Genomic DNA, 22,386 nt, shown 5'->3' on the forward strand with positions numbered 1-22,386 from the left:
TCCCAAGAAGCACCCTACGGCAGGGTGTGTGCCCCTACCTACCCCCACCACTAGTAGCCAGGTGGGCAATGCCTGCTAGAGCTTCCAGCCCAGCAGTCCCACTTCTGGGTGAACTCAGCTGGAGGCTGTGGCCTTCTGCTGTCCCAGGAAGCACTCGGATGGTAAGGCGTGTGCCCCATCCACCGGACACTGGTAGCCAGGTGGGCAATGCCTGCTAGAGTGTCCAGCCCAGCAGTCCTGGCTTCCCATATGCAGAAGATTGAAGCTGGACCGCCTCTTTTTTTTTTTTTTTTTTTTTAAGACAGAGTCTTAGGCTGACGCCTAGGCTGGAGTGCAGTGGTGCAATCTCAGCTCACTGCAACCTCCGTCCCCCCGGTTTAAGCAATTCTCTGCCTCAGCCTCCTGAGTAGCTGGGATTACAGGCACGTGCCACCACACCAGCTAATTTTTTGTATTTTTAGTAGAGACGGGTTTCACCATCTTGGCCAGGCTGGTCTTGAACTCCTGACCTCGTGATCCACCTGCCTCAGCCTCCCAAAGTGCTGGGATTACAGGTGTGAGGCACTGCGCCCAGCCTTCTTCTTTACTTTATGTACAAAATTCAACTCAAGATGGATTAAAGAATTAAATGTAAAACATAAAACTATAAAAACCCTGGAAGATAACCTAGACAATACTTCTGGACATAGGCCCCCGGCAAAGATTTCATTATGAAAACACCAAAAGCAATTGCAACAAAAACAAAAATTAATAAATGGTACCAAATTAAACTAAAGAGCTTCTGCACAGAAAAAGAAACTATCAACAGAGTAAACAGACAACCTAGAATGGGAGAGAATATTTGCAAACTATGCATCTGACAAAGCTCTATTATCCAGAATCTATAGGGAACATAAATTAAGCAAAAAACAAACAAGCCCATTAAAATGTGGGCAAAGGACATGAACGACACTTTTCAAAAGGAGATACACATGCAGCCAACAAGCATACAGAAACATGTAAAATCATTAGAGAAATGCAAATCAAAATCATGAGACACCATCTCATACCAGTCAGAAAGGCTATTATTAAAAAGTAAAAAACAAAAAAAAACAGATGTTGGCAAGATTGTAGAGAAAAGGAAATGCTTATACACTGCTGGTGGGAATGTAAATTAGTTCAGCCATTGTGGAAAGCATGTGGCGATTTCTCAAAGAACTTAAAGCAGAAGTATCATTTGAGCCAGCAATCCCACTACTAAGTATATACCCAAAGGAATAGAAATCATCCTACCATAAAGATGCAAGCATGTGTATGTTCATTGCAGCACTATTCACAATAACAAAGACATGGAATCAACCTAAATGCCCATCAACAGTAGACTGGATAAAGAAAATGTGGTACATATACACCATGGAATACTATGTAGCCATAAAAAAGAATGAGATCATGTCCTTTTCAGAAACATGGATGGAGCTAGAAGCCATAATACTAAGTGAACTAATACAGGAACAGCAAACCAAATACTGCATGTTTTCACTTATTTAGCTCACTTAGGAGCTAAATATCAAGTACACACGGACACAAAGAAGGGCAGAACAGACACCAGGGCCTACTTGAAGGTGGAGGCTGGAAAGAGGGAGAGGATCGAAAAACTACCTATTGGGTACTTTGTTTATTATCTGGATGACAAGATAATCTACACACCAAACCTCTGTGACATGCAATTTACCTATATAACAACTCTGCACATGTATCCCTGAACCTAAAATAAAAGTTAGAAAAAAAGAAATTTAGGCAGAATTGATAAATCTAGCTTCTAGATGATGCTGTCTAGAAACTGAGTGAAACATAAGAATAGGTGTATGGGACTTTCCCATTTATAACTTCCTTTATTCTAGACCCCTTTCTCAGCCACAGCCCTTTGAATATGCTGCCTGTTTCATGTGGTGCCACCCTTGTCTGCCCCTTTGCTGCACGGTTAAGGTCCTTGGTGTCTCGGTAGCCTTTCCATACCAATGCAGCCTCTGCCATCACCTTTTCTTCCCACTATTTGTACTGCTTTTTTGGTATTTATAATACGCCACTTTGCACTGTGGCTTATCTTTTTATAGGTATATTTTGCCCCCCCTTCAAGGGCACTATAAACCTTTCAAGGCTAAAATAGCCATATAGAAGTGCTTAACAGATGTCAGTTGATGATAGAGCTTAAAGGACAAATGCTATATTAATCATTCTGACTATTTCTGAGAAGAAAGGATTCCTACTCACATTTTACAGAAACAAAAAGTGATGTCTAGAAGAGTTAATTTACTTCCCTTGGATTCTTGAGCTGAACCAAAATGAACTGAGAAGGTTCCTCTCCTTACTAGAGCAGGCAGCCTCTTGGCAAATCAAAGTGCATAATCCCTTCAGTAACAGTGGTTGCTTACCAGCATAGTCAGTATTGATTTATGCTTGCAGGCACATGGCAGCTGGAGAATAGGGCAGTAATATTGGGCCACTAATACACAAGACGAGATTAAATGGTTTGAAATATTCTGAATCCTGGTTTTCTCCGAGCTTAGAAAATGACCTATTGGATATGTTATTCTGAGGGCAAAGAGAAATAGAAAAATCACATCCTGGCACTGGCTTGTCATTACTATCTTTAATTTAGATTTCCAAAATCGCCAAATATTTGGTTTTTAGGTACAATGTAATTTTCAATACACTTCCCAGCAAGACAGCTACCAATAAATTCAAGTAATTTTAGTTTCTGCAGCATTTCTTGGAAACTTCATGCTGGCACTGTCCTTGTCTCTGAATTGTTTTGGCATGTTTGGCCCATGATGATTCAATCAATTAGCAATGCAATTCACAGGCAAAGTGGCTGAAATTTTTGTGACTCAGCAGAAGAGTCTTGAAAGACATGGTTATTTTCCTGGCAACTTTTGATTTAATTGTCATCTTGCCAGATTTAGTATAAATAGATTAATAGTGGGACAAGCAAAGAGGGCTATCAAAATTCAGGGGACCATGGGCAGTCTTAGTTTCTCCTGCGCTGTCTCAGGTGACTCCACTGCTCTTTGGCAAAGTCTGTACTACCTCTGATAACTATCAACAACAGATTACGAGTCCCATATTTAAACACAGCAGAGTAGTAGTCCTGTTTTTCTCTTCTGGAATGATTTTCTACTTGCTAGATAGAAAGATGACATTGCTATAAAATCTACACATAGTTAATATTTCCTGAGACCTCAAGTTAGAAAGACTTGGGGAAAAAAAAAGGCATAGTGGTCCATGGAAAACAGAAGAATGTGGAAGTGCCAGTGCCAGGTAGAGGCCCTTAGGTAGCTCATTCATTGATTCATTCACTCAAAAATATTTATGGAGCACATAGGAAGTAACAGGCGTTATATGAGGCTGTGGGAATACAAAACATTAAACTCCTGAAGTTCAATGTATCACTTAGATGTCAATTTGTCCAAGCTAGCAAGGCATGTGTGCTGTGTGACAGGTATCTGGTCACTGGGATGCCACATTTAGTTTTGCTCATTGATTTTTATCATTGGCCAGATATATTTTCTCTTAGAGAATATAATCAAGAGGTTGAAAATAAGTATGCAAATTTCAAATCAAACATGTTTAATAGAAGAGGGCAAATATTTCAAGGAAACAGAGATTCAGCAAATATATCTAAGAAAAAAAATATGCAAAGAAACCAACATATGGATTATGAACAAAACACAAAGAAAACTGACTATAAATGAAGTAAAGCCTCTGGCTAAAAATCTAAAGCATGCTACACTTTGCTAGATGGCAAAGTGAATTTAAATGTGTTACAGAGTCAACCCTATCCTTACCCTCACCCCCTGCCTGACCTCTGAATCTCTGTGTAATTGCCAGTTCGTGTCGGACTTCACATGCTATGACTCTTTGATTTCTGCTTTGTATAATATATTTCTACAGAGTCTGACATTATGGCAGCAGAGGCTATAAACTGAGTGATCCTTGGAGGCTGCTGACTTGAAGTGTGGATGGAGAAGAGGCAAGAGAGAGCCAAGACTGGAAAGAAAGAAGGAAACAAAAGTTTCTCTCACTTTTGGACTTAGGGAAGCATTTGCTTTTTTTTTTTAACAGCTTAGTTAAAATATAATTCACATACCATATAATTCCCCCATTTAAAGTATACATCTCAATTGTCTTTAGGATAATTACAGGATTGTGCAACCAGCACCATAGTCACTTTAGAACATTTTCATCACTCCAGAAAGAAACCCTGTACCCATTTTCAGTCACTCTTCATTCCCATCCCCCAGCTTCTGGCAATTACTACTCTACTTCTGTCTCTATAGATTTGCCTATTCTGAACATTCATGTAGATGGAATCATATAATATGTGGCCTTTTGTGCTTGCTTCCTTCACTTAATGTATGATTTTCAAGGCTCATTCATGTTGTGGCACACATCATTACTTCATTCCTTTTTATTGCTAAATAATATTTCATTGTATGAATATTTTGTTTTTCCATTAATCAGTTCATGGCCATTTGGATTATTTTCATTTGTTGGCTATTATAAATAATGCTGCTATGAACATCCATGTATAAGTTTTGGTATGGACAAATGTTTTCATCTTGAGTATATACATAGGAATGGAATTGCTGGGTTATATGGTTAACTCCCTGTTTAACTTTTTGAGGAACTGCCAGACTGTTTTCTAAAGTGGCTGTACAATTTTGCATTTCCCCAGCAATGTATGAAAGTGTCAATTTCTCCACATCCCCACCAATGCTTGTTGTTACTTGTCTTTTTTATTCTAGCTATCCTAGTGTGTGTGTGATGGTATCTCTCTTGGTTTTTATTTTAATTTCCCTACTGACTAATGATGCTAAGCATTTTGTTCATGTAATTGTTGGCCATTTGTATATTTTCTTTGGAGAAATGTCCATTTAAATCTTTTGCATTTTAAAATTATGCTATCTTTTTATTATTGAGTTGTGAAATTATTTATGTATTCTAGATATAAGTTCCTTATCAGATATATGATTTGCCAATATTTTCTCCCATTCTGTGGTTTGTCTTTCCACTTTCTTGATGGTATTGTTAGCAGCTCAAATGTTTTTAGTTTTTTTGTTTGCTTGTTTTTTAGACAGAGTCTCACTCTGTTGCCCCGGCTGGAGTGCAGTGGAGCAATCACAGCTCACTGCAGCCTCAACCTCCCAGGCTCAGGGGATCCTCCCACCTCAGCCTCCTGGGCAGCTGGGACTACAGGTGTGCACCACTGCACCCGGCTAATTTTTTGTAGAGTCGAGGTTTCACCATGTTGCCCAGGCTAGTCTCAAACTCCTGGGCTCAAGCAACCTTCCCACCTTGGCCTCTCAAAGTGCTGGGATTATGAGCGTGAGCCACTGTGCGTGGCGTGTTTTTAATTTTGATTAAGTCAAAGCTACTTTTTCTTTTTTCGAGTGTGTGTTTATACGGTGTTGCCTAACTCAAGGTCAGAAGATTTACTTCAATGTTTCTTTCTCAGGATTATAGTTTTAGCTTACATTTAGGTCTTTGATACACTTTGAGTTAATTTTTGTGTGGTATAATTAAAGGATTCAACTTCATTCCTTTACCTGTGGATATCCAGTTGTCACAGTACCATTTGTGGAAAAGACTATTCTTTCCCTCACTGAATTGTCTTTGCATACTTGTCAAAAGTTAATTGGCCATAAATGCAAGAGGTTTTTCCTCAACTTCAACTCTATTCCATTAAGCTACATGTCTATCCTTAGTGCCAGTATAACACAATCTTGATTATTGTAGCTTTGTACTAAATTTTGAAATCAAGAAGTGTGAATCTTCCAACTTTGTTCTTTCTCAAGATTGTTTTGACTGTTCTTTGTTTCCATATTAAGATCAGCTTATCAATTTCTGCAAATAAGTTAATGGGGATTTCAATAGGAATTGTGTTGAATCTATAAATCAATTTTGAGCATTTTAACAATATTTAGTCTACCAATCCATGAGCATGAGATATATTTCCATATATTTTGGTGCTCTTCAATTTCTTTCAACGATGTTTTACAGTTTTTAAAGTAAACCTTGTACTTCATGTTAAATTTATTACTATGTATTAATATTTTATTATTTTTTATTTTATAAGTGAAGTTTTCTTCATTTCATTTTTAATTTGTTCATTGCTACTGTACAGAAATATAATTAATTTATGTAATTTCTGTATAATATACCAAGGTACAAGTACATGGTTGTATCCTGCAAACTTGCTGGATTCATTTGTCAGTTCTAATAGATTTTTAGTGGATTACTCAGTATTTTCTAAGTATAACATCATGTCATCTACAAATAAAGATAGTGTTACTTCTGCCTTTCCAATCTGAATGCCTTCTATTTCCTTTTCTTGCCTAATTGTCCTACCTAGTACCTCCAGTACAGTGTTGAATAGAAATGGTAAAAGTAGATATCCCTGTCTTGTTCCAGGTCACAGGGGAAGGCCTTTGCTTTTTAAGCAGTTTTCGAAAGGTTTAATGCTTTCTTCAAGAGGAAAAAACAAATAACAATACAATATATCCAAACAGAAAAATGCACTTGAACTCCTATTCTTGAGTATCAAAGCCCAAAACAGAAAACCATTCTAATTTAATACTTACGGAAAAAAAAATAATAAAGCAACACTAAAATGTATAGTGCTTTAACTGACTGTTGAGGAAACAAGGGAGTATACATAGGAATGACCTATATATATTCCAAATGACTTTTACTCTGAAGTTCTCTTGAGCCCGGATGTTAGCGAAAAATTAAAAGGATGAGGTTGTCCATGGGGGTTCATTTGAGATGGACAATGATAGTGACTGGTCAGACCCCTGGCCTACAATCATCTGCTGGATAAGATAAGGCACTTACCAGACCTCTTAATAGGAGTGTTATATGCTACTATAAAGAAAAAAACAAAAGAAACACATTTAAACCATGTAGCATAAGTTAAAAAGAGAAATAATGACAACTAGTTTCTATTCTAGCATATAAGAGGCTTAGAATTTGTCACTACAGTTCTTACAACAAAGAAAAAGTGAATAAAAATCAGGAAGTCATATTAGACACATCAGAGATTAGAGTCACAGGGCAAATCACTGCCTCAAAAATTGGACAAACAGGCCGGTGGATATAGAGAATACATTTTACTGGAGCAGAAACAAAGAAGCAGAAATAACCACTGGAGCCAGTACTAGGGCAGAAAAACTGAAGCTATAATTTGCAATCAGCTAGAGGCTTATTGTGGACAAGATTGAAAGATAAAAACTGAATATAAAACAACTGTGATTAATATGCTAAGGGTTCTAGTGGAAAAATGGACAACATGCAAGACCACATGGGTAACGTAAGAAGAAAAATGGAAACTCAAAGAAAGAATCTAAAGGAAATGCTGGAAATAAAAAACACACTGTAACAGAAATGTAGAATGCCTTTGATGGGGTCCTCAATAGACTGTATATGGCTAAGGAAAGAATCTGAGCTTGAACAAATGTCAATGGAAACTTCAAAACTGAAATGCAAAGAGAAAAAGTATGAAAAAGGCAGAAAAGATTTCTAAGAATCATGGGACAATTGCAAAAGGTGCAATATATTTGTAATGAGAATATCAAAATGAGAAGAAAGAAAGGAACAGAAGAAGTACTTGAAGTAACAGAATTTTCCTAGAGATATCAAACCACAGATCCAGGAATCTTGGAGAACATGAAGCAAGATAAATACCAAAAAATCCTACACTTAGAGATAATCATATTCAAACTACAGAAAATCAAAGGCAAAGAAAAAAATCTTAAAAGAAGTTGGGGAGGGGGAGCGTCAGGGGAGAATCTTACCTATATAGAAGCAAGAATAAGAATTACATCTGACTTTTCTCAGAAACCATGGAAGCAAGAAGATAGAAATATTTAAAATGTTGAAAGAAAAAAATCCACCAATAAAGAATTCTAGACCTACAGAGATTATCCTTCAAAAGTGAAAGTGAAATAAAGACTTCCTCAAACAAACAAATATTGAGGAAATTTGTGCTGGTAGACCTGCTCGCAAGAAATTTTAAAAGAAGTTCTTCAGAAAAGAAAGAAAATAATATTGGTCAGAAAAGTGGATCTAAAGAAAGAGCCTGGCCAGGTGTGGTGGCTCACACCTGTAATCCCAGCACTTTGGGAGGCTGAGGTGGGAGGATTGCTTGAGCCCAGAAGTGACCAGCCTGGGCAACATACCAAGACCTCGTCTCTACAAAAAAATAAAATGAAAATTACCCAGGCGTAGTGGCACACAGCTGTAGTCCCAGCTACTGGAAGACCACTTGAGCCCAGGAGGTCGAGGCTGCAGTGAGCTATCATCGTGCCACTGCACTCCAGCCTGGGTGACAAAACAAGACTCTGTCAAAGAAAAGAAAAAGCCCTAAATAAGGCATAAAGATCACAGAAAATCTTAATTTTCTTATTCTTAATTGGTCTAACAGACAATACTTTCTTTAGAACAAAAATAACCAATGTATTCAGCAACTATAGTTATGAATAAGTGAAATAAACGAAGTAATATTATAAGGGACAAGAGGGAAGAATTGGAAAAACTCTGTTATAATGTATTTGCACTCACACATGATGCAGCATAGTGTTATTTGAAAGTAAACCTGGATTATCTGTAAATGTATATTGCAAACTCTAGGGAAACCATATGATATGCTAAGAGAAAAGAAAAAAGAATTATTGAAATGTTCAATTAAAATCACAGAGGGCAGGAAAAGAATGAAAGACAAAAAAAGGAACCAAGAACAAGGCAACCAAGAGAAAACAGTAACAGATATGGTAGATATTAATCCAACAATATCAATAGTCACTTCAAACACAAAACGGTCTAAATGCCAATTAAAAGACAGAGATTTTCAGAGTGAATAAAATAATAAGACCCAATTATATGTTATATATAAGAAACTATTTATTTATAGGCAAGGTCTCACTCTGTCACCCAGGCTGGAGTACAGTAGTGCAATCATAGCTCACTGAAGCCTTGAACTCCTGGGCTCAAGTGATCTTCCCACCTCAGCTTCCTGAGTAGCTAGGACTATAGGTATGTGCTACCACGCCTTGCTAATATTTAAATTTTTTTTGTAGAGATGGGGTCTCACTGTGTTGCCCAGGCTTGTCTTAAACTCTTGGGCTTAAGAGATCCTCCTTTTCCTAGTGTTGGGATTACAGGCATGAGCCACTGTGCCTGGCCAAGAAATCCATTGAAAATACAAATACACAGGTTGTATCAGTCTGTTCTCATGCTGCTATAAGGACATACCCGAGACTGGGTAATTTATAAAGAAAAGGTTTAATTGACTCAGAGTTCAGCATGAATGGGGAGGCCTCAGGAAACTTACAATCAGTGTGGCACTTCATCAAGGATCTAGAACTAGAAATATCATTTGACCCAGAGATTTCATTACTGGGTATATACCCAAAGGATTATAAATCATGCTACTATAAAGACACATGCACACGTATGTTTATTATGGCACTATACACAATAGCAAAGACTTGGAACCAACCCAAATATCCATCAATGATAGACTGGATTAAGAAAATGTGGCACATATACACCATGGAATACTATGCAGCCATAAAAAAGGATGAGTTCATGTCCATTGCAGGGACATGGATGAAGCTGGAAACCATCATTCTGAGCAAACTATCGCAAGGACAGAAAACCAAACACCCCATGTTCTCACTCATAGGTGGGAATGGAACAATGAGAACACCTGGACACAGGGTGGGGAACATCACTCCCTGGGGCCTGCTGTGGGGTGGGGGGCACAGGGAGGGATAGCATTAGGAAAAATACCTAATGTGAATGACAAATTAATGGGTGCAGCACACCAACATGGCACATGTATGCCTATGTAACAAACCTGCACATTGTGCACATGTATCCTAGAACTTAAAGTATAATTTTAAAAAATAAATAAAAACAAGAACAAAAACGAAAAAACAAAAGAAAATTATCAGGGATAAAGAGGAACATTACATAATGATAAAGAGGTTAATTCTCCAAAGGGACATAACAGTCTTTAGCATGTATCCACCTAAGAACAGAATGTAAAAAGTACATTTGGCAACAACTGATAGAATTGCAAGGAGAAATATGTTAGTTCACTATTATAGTTAGAGGCTTCAACAGACCATTATCAGTAATTGTCAGATCCAGCAGGCAGAAAATCAGTAAGAAAACAGCTGAACTGAATAGCACCATCAATCAAATAGACCAAATTGGCATTCATATAAAACTTCAACAAAAGCAGAATATACATTCTTCTCAAAGTCATACAGAATATTCACTAAGACTGACCACGTTCTGGGCCATAAGATATACCTTAACAGATTTAAACAAGTAGAAATGATACAAAGTGTGCTCTAATAATGCCATAATGGAGCTAAATGAGAAATGTAAAAAAGAAAGATGGCTGAGAAATGCCAAAATACCTGGAGATTAAACAGTACATTTCTGGATAAAGCATGAGTCAAAATAGTCATGTCAAGGGGAATTAAATAATATGTTTAACTAAATAAAAATGAAAATACAACTCATTAAAATTTGTGGATGCAGCAAACGTAATTTTCAAAAGGAAATTTATAACATTGAATCCATAAATTACCAAAGAAGGAAGATCTAAAATCAATAATCTAAGCTGCCACAAAAGAAAACTAGAAGAAAGAAGAGCATATTAAATCCAAAGTAATCAGAAGAAAAAAAAGCAATAAAAATTAGGGCAGAAACCAATAAAACTGAAACATAAAACTGATGAAAATTGACAAAAACCTGGTTCTTTAAAAATTTCAATAGAAATGATAAACTTCTAGCCAGGCTATCTAAGAAGAAAAGATTGAAGACACAAATTACCAATATCAGAAATGAAAAAGGGGCTATCATGACTGATACACCATTAACATTAAACTAAGAATAAAGGAATATTACAGGAACTAGTAGCAACTATAGCGAGGGTGCAGGATACAAGATGAATATATAAAGGTCAATAGCTATCTTATATACCAGAAATGAAGAACTGGAATTTGAAATTAAAAACATAATATCATTTACATTTGTCACTCTAAAAAATGAAATACTTAGGTATAAATTAACAAAACGTACAGATTTATATGAGGAAAACTACAAAAATATGATGAAAGAAATCAAAGATCTAAGTAAATGAAGAGTTATTCCATGTTCATGGATAGGAAGACTCAACATTGTCAAGATATTAGCTCTTTCCAACTTGATCTATAGTTTCAATACAATCCCAATAAAATCCCAGCAAGTTATTTTGTGAATATCAACAAACTGATTACCTAAAGTTTATATAGAAAGGCAAAAGACCCATTATAGCCAACATATTACTGAAGGAGAAGAATGTCAGAAGATTGACACTACCTGTTTCTAAAACTTACCATAAATCTGCAGCAATCAAAATGGTGGGTATTGGGAAAAGAACAGACAAAGAGATCAATGGGACAGAATAAAAGGTCTACAAATAAATCCATGCAAATATAGTAAACTGAACTGTATATAGACAAACAAGGAAAGGCAATTTAATAAGAGTCTTTTCAGCAAAAGTTCCTGGAACAACTGGACATCACCCCACATGTATGGACAGACAAACTGATACATCCATACAATGGGACATTATTCAACGTTAAAAAGAAATGAGCTATCTAGCCAAAAAAGACATGGAGCAACCTTGAAAGCATATTGGTAAGTGAAAAATGCCAATCTGAAAAGGCTATATGTTGTATGATTCCAAATATATGACATTCCTGAAAGGACAAAACTATGAAGACAGTAGTTGCCAGGGGTTCAGGGAAAGTGAGGGAGAGAAGAAGAGGCAGAGCGCAGGGCAGTGAAACTATTCTGTAATGATATATAATGGTGGATACATGTTATATATTTGCCAAAACCCACAGAATGTACAATACAAAGAACAGACCATTATGTAAATTATGGAACTTAAAGATAATGTATTAATATTCACTCATCAATTTTAAAAAGTCACCTTTTAAAAAAACATCTGAACTACTGCAAAAAATCTCCAGATTGGTCTCTTACACTGATTCTTTCTGTAGTTAGAATGATTTAAAAAACAAAAATCATTAGATCAGTGCCTTGCTTAAATTCCATTGATGGCTAATTGTTTTTTGGATAAAATGTGATTCTTTTAGTTCCTCAAATGTACCAGTCTTTGCCACTCTTTTAAACAAATTAATTTACTTATTTTACTTTTTTACATAGGGACAGGGTCTCACTATGTTGTCTAGGCTTGTCTTGAACTCTTAATCTCAAGCAATCCTCCCACCCCAGTCTCCCAAAGTGTTGAGATTACAGGCATGAACCACCATGTCCAGCCTTGTGTCACTCATCTTCAAATTTCAGTTTGGATGTCACTTCCTAACAAAAGGTGTCCCCAACTCTTACAGATAAAGCTAGGTCCCTATAAATTATGCTTCCCTAACACTTTATATTTCCCCTTTCATAGAATCCAACTTACTGTCATATTAGACTGCCTGTTTTATTCCCTAGAATGGTAACTCCATGAGGGGAGGACCTATAGTTTTCATTGTTATATGTGTAGTACCTGGTACACAGTAGGTGCTCAGAATTAGATGACTGACTTACTGATGTAAGTCCGGAATGCCAATACTCTCTGGAATAGGTTAACTAATTGATTTTTTTTTTTTTTTTTTGAGACTGGGTCTTGCGCTGTTGCCCAGCCTGGAGTGCAGTGGCGCAATCTCAGCTCACTGCAAGCTCCGCCTCCGAGGTTCATGCCATTCTCCTGCCTCATCCTCCCGAGTAACTAGGACTACAGGCGCCCACCACCATGCAGGGTCTCACTGTGTTTCTCAGGCTGGTCTTGAACTCCTGGACTCAAGTAATCCTCCTGCCTCAGCCTCCCAAAGCACTGGGTTTACAGGCATGAGCAACTGCACCCAGCCTGGAATATGTTAATTTAGGAAGCAGTTGTTATCCTATCTATGGAGACAGAGCTAAACTGATCTGGAATACTGGGTAAGAGGCTGGAGAATATTTCTCTGAGATCATTTTCCATTTTAAATCTATAAAGGCAGGGAGGTGAAAGAGATGGCCTTCTAAGAACTTGTTTTTTGAGGTTTCTGAGTTTCCACAATATAGTTTCCCATGGTGTGATCCATATTTAGCAACTTTACAGTTCTTTGCCTATAGAGGAAAATGGTCCACATTGTACCAAACACACTTTTCTAGAAGAGGGTAACAAAATCTGCTACCTAGAAATGCAGAAGATAGGACTTTGTGCTATAAGGCAAATATCTTTTATCATTAAGAATATGAAAATAATCTTTCTGATAAATGTTTTTAATTTATTTAGTGAACAGAGATGCTGTTCTGTGGATTATTTGATCTATTTTATTCCCATCGCAGAAATGAAGAAGTGGAAAGGCAAGACATGGGCAGACCCTGGGAGTTGTACTGCTGATACCACCATGTATCCAAGATACAGAATTATAACTCCTACTGTGAGGATCTGAAAATTGTTGAAGGTACAGCACTAGGATACCTAAAGTAGTAGGGGAATGAATTCAGCAGAGGCTACTGCCCAAGAGAAAAAGGACACTGGGGTTGCTGTCATTATCACACAGATGTAGTTGTTTGCTTAGTGCTTTTAAAAAAGTTTCTAATCTCCCTGTAGCTCTTCCAAAGTTTCTCAAGGATAATATACTGTGATGAACTGATGGTGTGTCCCTGGCCTTTCCAGGTCCGCCCAGATGTCAAAAGTCCTCCCTTTTAGATTTGCTATGAAATTAAGAAACTTTTCGGCTGGCTGAAGTTTGTAACTGCAACTACTCACGTAAACTCCCAGCTCCTTTTCTACAGCTGCCTTGGAAAGCAAAAATGGGAAATTTGCAAATTTTTTAGAATATGATGATTGGTCCACAGATGACATTCTTTCTGTGAGGGCAGTGGGTAGATTTTTCAAAGTGAATACTTTTGGTCCTTTAATGCTTTGTTTTGATTCATCTTATGGGGAAGTTTGGAAGGCATATTAAGATGTTCTGAATTTGAACTTGGATCTCTTTCTTAAGAATCTTGGAGAGTCATCTATTTTTTATGGTGTAGGTAAAAGATGCCTGGAAAATGGGAGATAGACTAGCTGTCCCTGAGGAGGCTTTCACCAAAGATTCTATAATAATATACAACCAAATCTCAGAGAGTGATTCTGTCAAGGTTATGCTCTGGGATATTGGTTTGTTCTCTAACCTCTTAGAAACAATTTCCACATTACCTGACTTCCTCTGCCAGAATCTGAACTACTTAGACAATACAAAAATGATGATGACATGAATAATAACTTTAAAAAGTGTTATCATTTTTTCATTATTAAAATTCCATGTCCCATGACAGGTATAAGTACCTACACTATCCTTATTCCTTTAATCTTCATTTTGTGTTCATATTTATCAACTAAATTGAAGCTCTTTGAAGAAGGGATCTAGGTGTGATAAATAATCATTTTATCATAAATAGCACTTAGTAGAGACACTTCAAATATAATGGTTTTATCTGGATTCGTAAAACTGTAAACTCTTCACAGGGAGAGACACTTTAGCTTAAATTTATCCCAATTTTCACTATTTTACCATGAGCCATAAACAGCATAGGTTCACTTAAAGAGTGGTATCTGAAATTGATTCAGCTTCCTGAATATCCACAAAGTTTTCCACCAAGACATCAAACTCTGACCATTTATTTGGGAACATCAAAAGTTCATCTTCACCTATAATTACACCTTGTATGGATCCTGCCTGTCTTGTTCATTGCTTAATCTCTTGTGTCTAGCAGAGTAAATGCTCGGTAAGTATTTGTAGAATAAATGAAAAAGAGTTTTACATTAACATCTAGCTAAATTATTATTCATACTGCCTACTACCAAAAAAAGACACACAGTGGCCTGCAACATTAAAATATATACAATATAAGACAAAACAGAAAAAGAATAGATTAGAAAAATAGGAAAGAAAAACAGATGAACCAGAAATCTGGGTGAATTGATCACTGTCAAAGAACATTAAATGTAGTGTTACTGGCTTCCTGGTTGTCAAATAAAAAGAGAAAATACATCAAATTTCTAGTTTCAACAGAATTCATCTGAAGAGGCAAACAAGGCTGGGTGTGGTAGCTCAAGTCTATAATCTCAGGCTTTTGGGAGGCCAAGGTGGGAGGAGTGATTGAGCAGAGGAGTTTGAGACCAGCCTGGGCAACATAGTGAGAGCGTGTGCCTCCAAAACAAATTTTAAAATTAGCCAGGCATGGTGTAATATGCCTGCAGTCCCAGCTACTCAGGAAGCTGAGGTGGGAGGATTACTTAAGCCCAGGAGTTGGAGGCTGTAGTGAGCTAGGATCATACCACTTATACTCCAGCCTGGGCAACAGAATGAGACCTTGTCCCTTTTATTTTTTGAGACGGAGTCTCACTCAGTCGCCCAGGCTGGAGTGCAGTGGTGCAATCTCGGCTAACTGCAAGCCTCCCGGGTTCACGTCATTCTCCTGCCTCATCCTCCCGAGTAGCTGGGACTATAGGCGCCCGCCACTACACCCGGCTAATTTTCTTGTATTTTTAGTAGAGACGGGGTTTCACCGTGTTAGCCAGGATGAGACCTTGTCTCTTTTTTAAAAAGAAAAGAAAAAAAAAAAGGAGGTAAACAGTTTCTTGGCACTGAATTCTAGGAAAGAAATTTTTTTGCATGAATTCTTATATGTGAGATGGTAGACAAAAAAGTATACAGGATTTTTAACTTTGTAAAAAAAATTGTAAAATGTCTTCCAAGTGGGTACTTCTAACATCAGTATCTACAAAAGTCATATGGGTTGTTTATTTTCACTATCACTACCCAATAATTTATTTGCTTCTTATGATCATTCCTGTTTTATGACAAGAAAGCTATGTCAATGGTACAGGAAAAAAATTATCTTCTTCTTTGGAATGGTTGGTAGACATTTACCTAATTAATAGCTGGTTGAACTGCATGAAATTGCTGTTTTTATTGAATATTGGTAGCTTCATACATATTGGTAGTTCAACTTAATATAATAGCTTTATCAAGTTGTTTAGGTTAAACATAAGGGGTAACTCAATCCTGATTTACTCATTAGAATGTAAGCTTCCTGAATGTAGTGACTTGGCTTATCTCATTTACTGTAGAAACCTTATTGTCTGGCACATGGTAATACACTTCCTAGCGACTGAATAAATGAATGCTTTACCTTTGAGTTATTTCAAGAAAATCTTTCATGCAGAATGTAACACAAAGCTTAAATGACATAGTAGAGGAATCTATGATCAAGTTTCAATCATTTTTATAATTTGGGGGATGAAAACAGTCTCCAAATTCTTGTATAAGCACGGTACCGATCAAAGTCATAATGTATTGCTTGGTTGGAGCCTCTATTACATCAGACCAAATTAATCAGTACCTTTCTGATCCTGACAGTACTGTCTAGACAGGAACATATTTTTTAAATTATAATTTAATTTAATTTTTTGAGACAGGGTCTTGCTCTGTCACTCAGGCTGGAGTGCATTGGCATGATCTTGGCTCATTGCAACTTCTGCCTCATGAGCTCAAGCAATCCTCTTAGGTCATCCTCCTGAGTAGCTGGGACTACAGGTGTATGCCACCAGGCCTGGCTAATTTTTGTTTTTTTTTGTAGAGACAGGGTTTTGCCATGTTGCCCAGGCTGGTCTTGAACTCCTGAGCTCAAGCGATCTTCCCACCTCAGCCCCCTAAATTGCTGTGATTACAGGTGTATGTCACTGCACCTAGCCAGATATGAGCATATTTGGCAAGAAAAGTCAGATCTCTGTAAGCAATAAATTTACTTGATTTGAAATCTATTATGATTTTTTGGAAAATTTACAGTTCCTCTTACTCATCACTTGTAAAAAAAAAACCTCAATTTCAATTTGTTTCCTGAAGATAAAAGAAGCACAGGTCTTCATTATTTCACTTGCTTACTTGGGTTTTTGTTTGTTTGTTTATTTTTATTTTTGAGATGAGGTTTTGCTGTTGCCCAGGCTGGAGTGGAGTGGTGTGATGAAAGCTCACTGCAGCCTCTGCCTCCTGACCCTCTTACCTCAGCCTCTGGAGTAGCTGGGTTAGTTGAGTAGTTGGCTAATTTTGTGTATTTTTTATGGAGACGGGGTCTCACTATGTTGCCCAGGCTGGTCTTGAACTCGGGAGCTCACGTAATCTGCCCCCCTTGGCCTTTACTTGCTTACTTTGTATTTAATATTGGCAATGTCTCCATAGTTGCCTTTTTTTCCTTTTGCTGTCTACTTTATTTCTTAGCATGTTTGTTCCTGATCTTGTTCTTTGAGGAACTTTTCCTACTTGGATTCCAAGCTTTTCATTATAAACTAATCTCTTAGGTTTTCTAGGCACTGTGTGTGCAAAGTGTATACAGGAATTTATGTTTAGGTAACACAATTTGTTTTCCACCACATTATAATGATCTAAAAGAATATTTAACTTAAATGCCTTATCTGGAAGGAGTGGATATGACAATGACACACATGCTGTCATATGCATGTCAACTGGGTTAGGTCTCCAGGGGTAGGAATAGATATGAACCACATCCATTCCACTGTTATTCACGTGAAACTAAAGGTATTCATTTGCAAGATGGGTAGAACCACTAAGAGGTTAGTTAGTGGGATACATGTGAGAGTTTGAAGACAGCATTTTAATTTTTATTTTTTAAGTAGGACAAATAAGATGGATAAAGTTTCAAGACATAATTTCAATAGCTCTTGAGACAACTGAGTCCCAGGCAAATATACATTTCCCCATATTGTAATTTTTCCTACAGAGAATGTATTGATTATAGCATGCAATGACAATGATTTAGTATTTCCTTGGTTCTGCCCTTTTGGAACTTTATCCATTATGTATAATCATGAATAGCGTAACTATAACTGAAATAAAATTTAAGCCTTTTCATTTAATGTTTAGCATGTGTAAAACCTCACATCTGATCAACATCAACATTAGATAACTAGTTTAGTTTACACAATTTTATTACCAACAAATCTATCAGCACTCTTGCAACTGAACCCATATTTCCCCCCCTTCTTCTCTTACAATGAATGAACAATCCTTGTCCCATCATTTCTGCACTTAATTCCACTCCTTTGTGTATACTCAAGGGCATTATTCCTGCAATTATCCCTTTTCTCCCTAAAATCATCAACTTTTCCCTCTTTACTGGATCATTCCTATCACCACATAAATGTTGCATTATCTTTCAATTATTCTACTACTGAGTAGTATTAGGGCACAAGAAAGGGAAGATGGGCATTGGAGCCATAGAAGGGGTTACAGCAACTTTTGGAAATTATACAATTTTACTTAATTGCATTTATATAAACAGGGGTAAAATTTCTGCCACTATTGCCTATGTAAACATTCTTCACACGTGTGTGTGTGTGTGTTTGGGGGCTGATGAAATACACATCCCTACTGTCTACTATTATCATAGGAGTAAAATACTGTTCCACGAAGTTTTTCTCTACACTGAGAACAATGTTGCAAGGCAATATAATAGAAAGTCATGCCATTGCACTCCAGCCTGGGTGACAGAGTGAGACTCTGTCACAAAAAACAAACAAACAAACAAACAAACAAAAAACAGAGTAAAAGCTTCAGTTTTGTCATCTGGAAGATTTGGGTTCACATCTTGGTTCTACTATAAACTTTGTGATACTGAATGAGTCACTTCATAGTTCTGAGCCTCAGTTTCTCAACTATACAATGGTAATGATAATACCTGCTTTACAAGTTGTGAGGAATGAATGAATAATACACATAATACACATTAAGCACATTGACATAAAAATCACAGATCAGGGAGGGAGGGGAGCATGGGTTGAAAAACAACCTATTGTGTACTATGCTCACTATCTGGGTGATGGGATCATTTGTGCCCCAGCCCTCAGCATCATGCAATATACCCATGTAACAAACCTACACATGCAACCCTTAATCTATAATAACAGTTGAAAAACAAATCACAGATCACAATACTGGAAAAGAGCTTTAGAAGCAATATGCTTCACTTACATATGGAAACTGCAGTGGATAATGGTGAACCTCAAAAAAAATATCCAATCTATAAGGAACTTGAATTTATAAGCAAAAAACAACCCCATTAAAAAGTTGGCAAAGGACATGAACACTTTTCAAAAGAAGACATACATGTGGCCAAAAAGCATACGAAAAAATGCTCAACTTCACTAATCATTTGAGGAATGCAAATCAAAACCATGAGATACCATCTCATACCAGTCACAATGGCTATTACTAGAAAGTCAAAAAATAACAGATGCTGGTGAGGTTGCAGAGAAAAGGAAATGCTTATACACTGCTGGTGGGAATGTAAATTAGTTCAGCCACTGAGGAAAGCAGTTTGGTGATGTCTGAAAGAACTTAAAACAGAATTACCATTAGACCCAGCAATCCCATTTTCAGGTATATACTCAAAGGAATGAAAATCATTCTACCATAAAGACACACACATGAAAATATTTTTCCGAGCACTATTCACAATAGCAAAGTCATGAAATCAACCTAAATGCCTATCAATGGTAGGCCGGATAGGAAAATGTGGTACATATATGTCATAGAATACTATGCAGCCATAAAGAAGAATGAGATCATGTCCTTTGCAGCAACCTGGATGGAGCTGGAAGCCATTATCCTAAGTGAGCTAACACAAGAACAGAAAACCAAACACCGCATGTTCTCATTTTTATAAGTGGGAGCTAAATATCGAGTACATATGGACACAAAGAAGGGAACAAGAGGCACTGGGGCCTACTCCAGGGTGGAGGGTAGGAGAAGGATGAGGACTGAAGAACTGCCTATCAGGTACTATGCTTACTACTTGGGTGACAAAATAATCTGCACACTGAACCCCTATGACATGCAATTTACCTACACAACAAACCTGCACACATAACCCTTGAACCTAAAATAAAAGTTAAAAGAAAAAAAGATATGTTCGGCTGGGCACAGTGGCTCACGCCTGTAATCCCAGCACTTCGGGAGGCTGAGGCGGGTGGATCACAAGGTCAGGAGATCAAGACCATCCTGGCTAACACGATGAGACCCCATCTCTACTAAAAATATAAAAAATTAGCTGGGCGTGGTGGTGGGCACCTGTAGTCCCAGCTACTCAGGAGGCTGAGGCAGGAGAATGGTGTGAACCCAGGAGGAGGAGGTTGCAGTGAGCCGAGATCACACCACTGCACTCCAGGCTGGGCGACAAAGCAAGACTCTGTCTCAAAAAAAAAAAGATATGTTCAAGTCTTAATCTCCAGTACTTAGGAATGTGACCTTATTTGGAATAAGGGTCTTTGAAATCATCCTGGATTAACTGGGTAGACCCCTGAACCCAATGATGGGTATCCTTAAAAGCAGCAGAAGAGTAGAAGACATGAGGAGAAGACAGAGGTGGAGACTGGAGTTATGTAAGTCACAAGCCAAGGAATTCTAAAAACCATTAGAAGCTGGAAGAGACAAGGAAAGAGTCTCCCTTAGAGCCTTCAGAAGGACAACGGCTCTGCCAATGCCTTGATTTCAGATTTCTGGCCTCCAGACCTGTGAGGGAATAAATTTCTTTTGTTTTAAGCCACCAAGTTTATAGTAATTTTGTTACAATAGCCATAGGAAACTAATACAGATTTTGCTAACTACAACATAAGTGCTGTTGTACTAAATACCTAAACATGTAGAAGTGGCTATGGAATTGGGGAATGTGCAGAGGCTGGTAAACTTTTGCGGCAAGTGATAGAAAAAGCCTAGATTGAAGATATTCTTGGTAGGAATATACACAAACATTAAACACAATTCAGGGCCAGGCGTGGTGGCTCACACCTATAATCCTAGCACTTTGGCAGAAAACTCGGCTGAATTATGTACAGTTGAGTAGAAAGTAGAGCTTGTAAGCAATGAATTTGTATATCAAGCTGAGATTTCCAAGCAAAATGTTGAAGATGCAGCCTGATTTTGCCTCACTATTTATGGTAAAATGTGATAGAAAAGAGATAAATTGAAAAAGGAAATCTTAGGCAGAAAGAAACCAACACTTAATGATTTGGAGGGTTCTTGGCATATACAGATTGCAAAGGATGCCAAAATTAGGAAACTTACACTTAAAGAAAGTATGCTGTGGATATCAAGCCAAGGGTGTGGCTGGACAACCTTTTGCTGAAGAGACTTGGCATGTGTCTCATTGATCCACTCAACCATCTCAGCAGAAGCCAGAAACAGATGGGGTTATCCGGTAAAGATCAATGCAGGACCCTTCTGTCTAGTGGCAGGGATCCCTGTGACATACACAGGACACCTACAAGGTTTTAAAGAATGCTGTATCAGCAGAAATACTGCCAGCTTAGAATAAAGGGAATGGAGACAAGACAAAGTGAAGGATTGCTGTTGGGCTTAACAAAATTCTATAAACAGAAAAATGGGCTGATAAAGCTACTTAGCTGCAAATATATACTACCCTTTAAGAAAAGGAAAGGATGACTTCTAGGTCAGAGCCATGGGTGCAGAAGTAGACACTGATGAAGCCACCACAGGCCTGGAAGGCAGCGCCAAGAGCCATAGATAATTAGTTCCAGGCCTTGAAATCTAATGTAAATTGCCTTGCTGGATTCAAACTTGCTTGGAACTGGTGGCTCCTTTATTCTCTCAGTTTCCCCCTTTTGGAATGAAAATGTCTATTGTATCCCTATCCCACCACTGTATTTTGGAAACAGATCATTTCTTTTCTAAGTTCATAGTTCCACAGGTAGAGAAGAATTTTGCCCCAGGGTGCATCATACCCAGAGGGCCACCCATATCTAACGTAGATGATTTAGGTGATGAAATGTGGGACTTTTGAGCTGATGATGTTTAGATGAGACTTTAGACTTAGAGTTAATGCAATAATGGATTGAGACTTCTGGGGATGTGGGGAAAGGCTGAATGTGTTTTGCATGTGGAATAAATGTTAATTTTTGAGAGCCAGAGGATAAACTACATTTGGTTGGATGGTGATACCAAAAAAGATTTGTCCAAGTCATAACCTCAGGTATCTGTGAATGCGAGCTTATTTGGAAACAGGATCTTTGTAGATGTAATTCAGTCAAGGATCTCAAGGTGAGACCATTCTGGATCAACTGGGTAGGCCCTAATTAAATGACAAAAGTCCTTAAAAGAGAAAGAACAGAAGACATGAGGAAAAGAGGTCATATAAAGACCGAGGGAGAGATTGGAGTAATACAAAGCCACAAACCAGGGAGCTCCTGGGGCCACCAGAAGCTGAAGGCAA

The 22,386-nt window shown here is 37.6% G+C and overlaps 1 protein-coding gene across 10 annotated transcripts in view, besides 1 other annotated feature; it reads right to left on the reverse strand.

Annotated features, from left to right (window-relative positions):
- EXOC6B (exocyst complex component 6B) overlaps positions 1-22,386 on the reverse strand; it is a 650,050-nt gene that overhangs the window by 57,823 nt on the left and 569,841 nt on the right. The gene's annotated exons all lie outside the window — the stretch shown is intronic.
- Positions 2,454-2,955: an enhancer, noted in NCBI's record as "H3K27ac hESC enhancer chr2:72463389-72463890 (GRCh37/hg19 assembly coordinates)". NCBI's record gives its function as "activates a minimal SCP1, AML or CMV promoter by ChIP-STARR-seq in naive H9 embryonic stem cells {active_cell/tissue: H9 hESC(naive)}" and the evidence as "EXISTENCE:reporter gene assay evidence [ECO:0000049][PMID:30033119]".

This window comes from Homo sapiens, chromosome 2 (assembly GCF_000001405.40).
Source record: "Homo sapiens chromosome 2, GRCh38.p14 Primary Assembly".
NCBI lineage: Eukaryota > Metazoa > Chordata > Mammalia > Primates > Hominidae > Homo > Homo sapiens.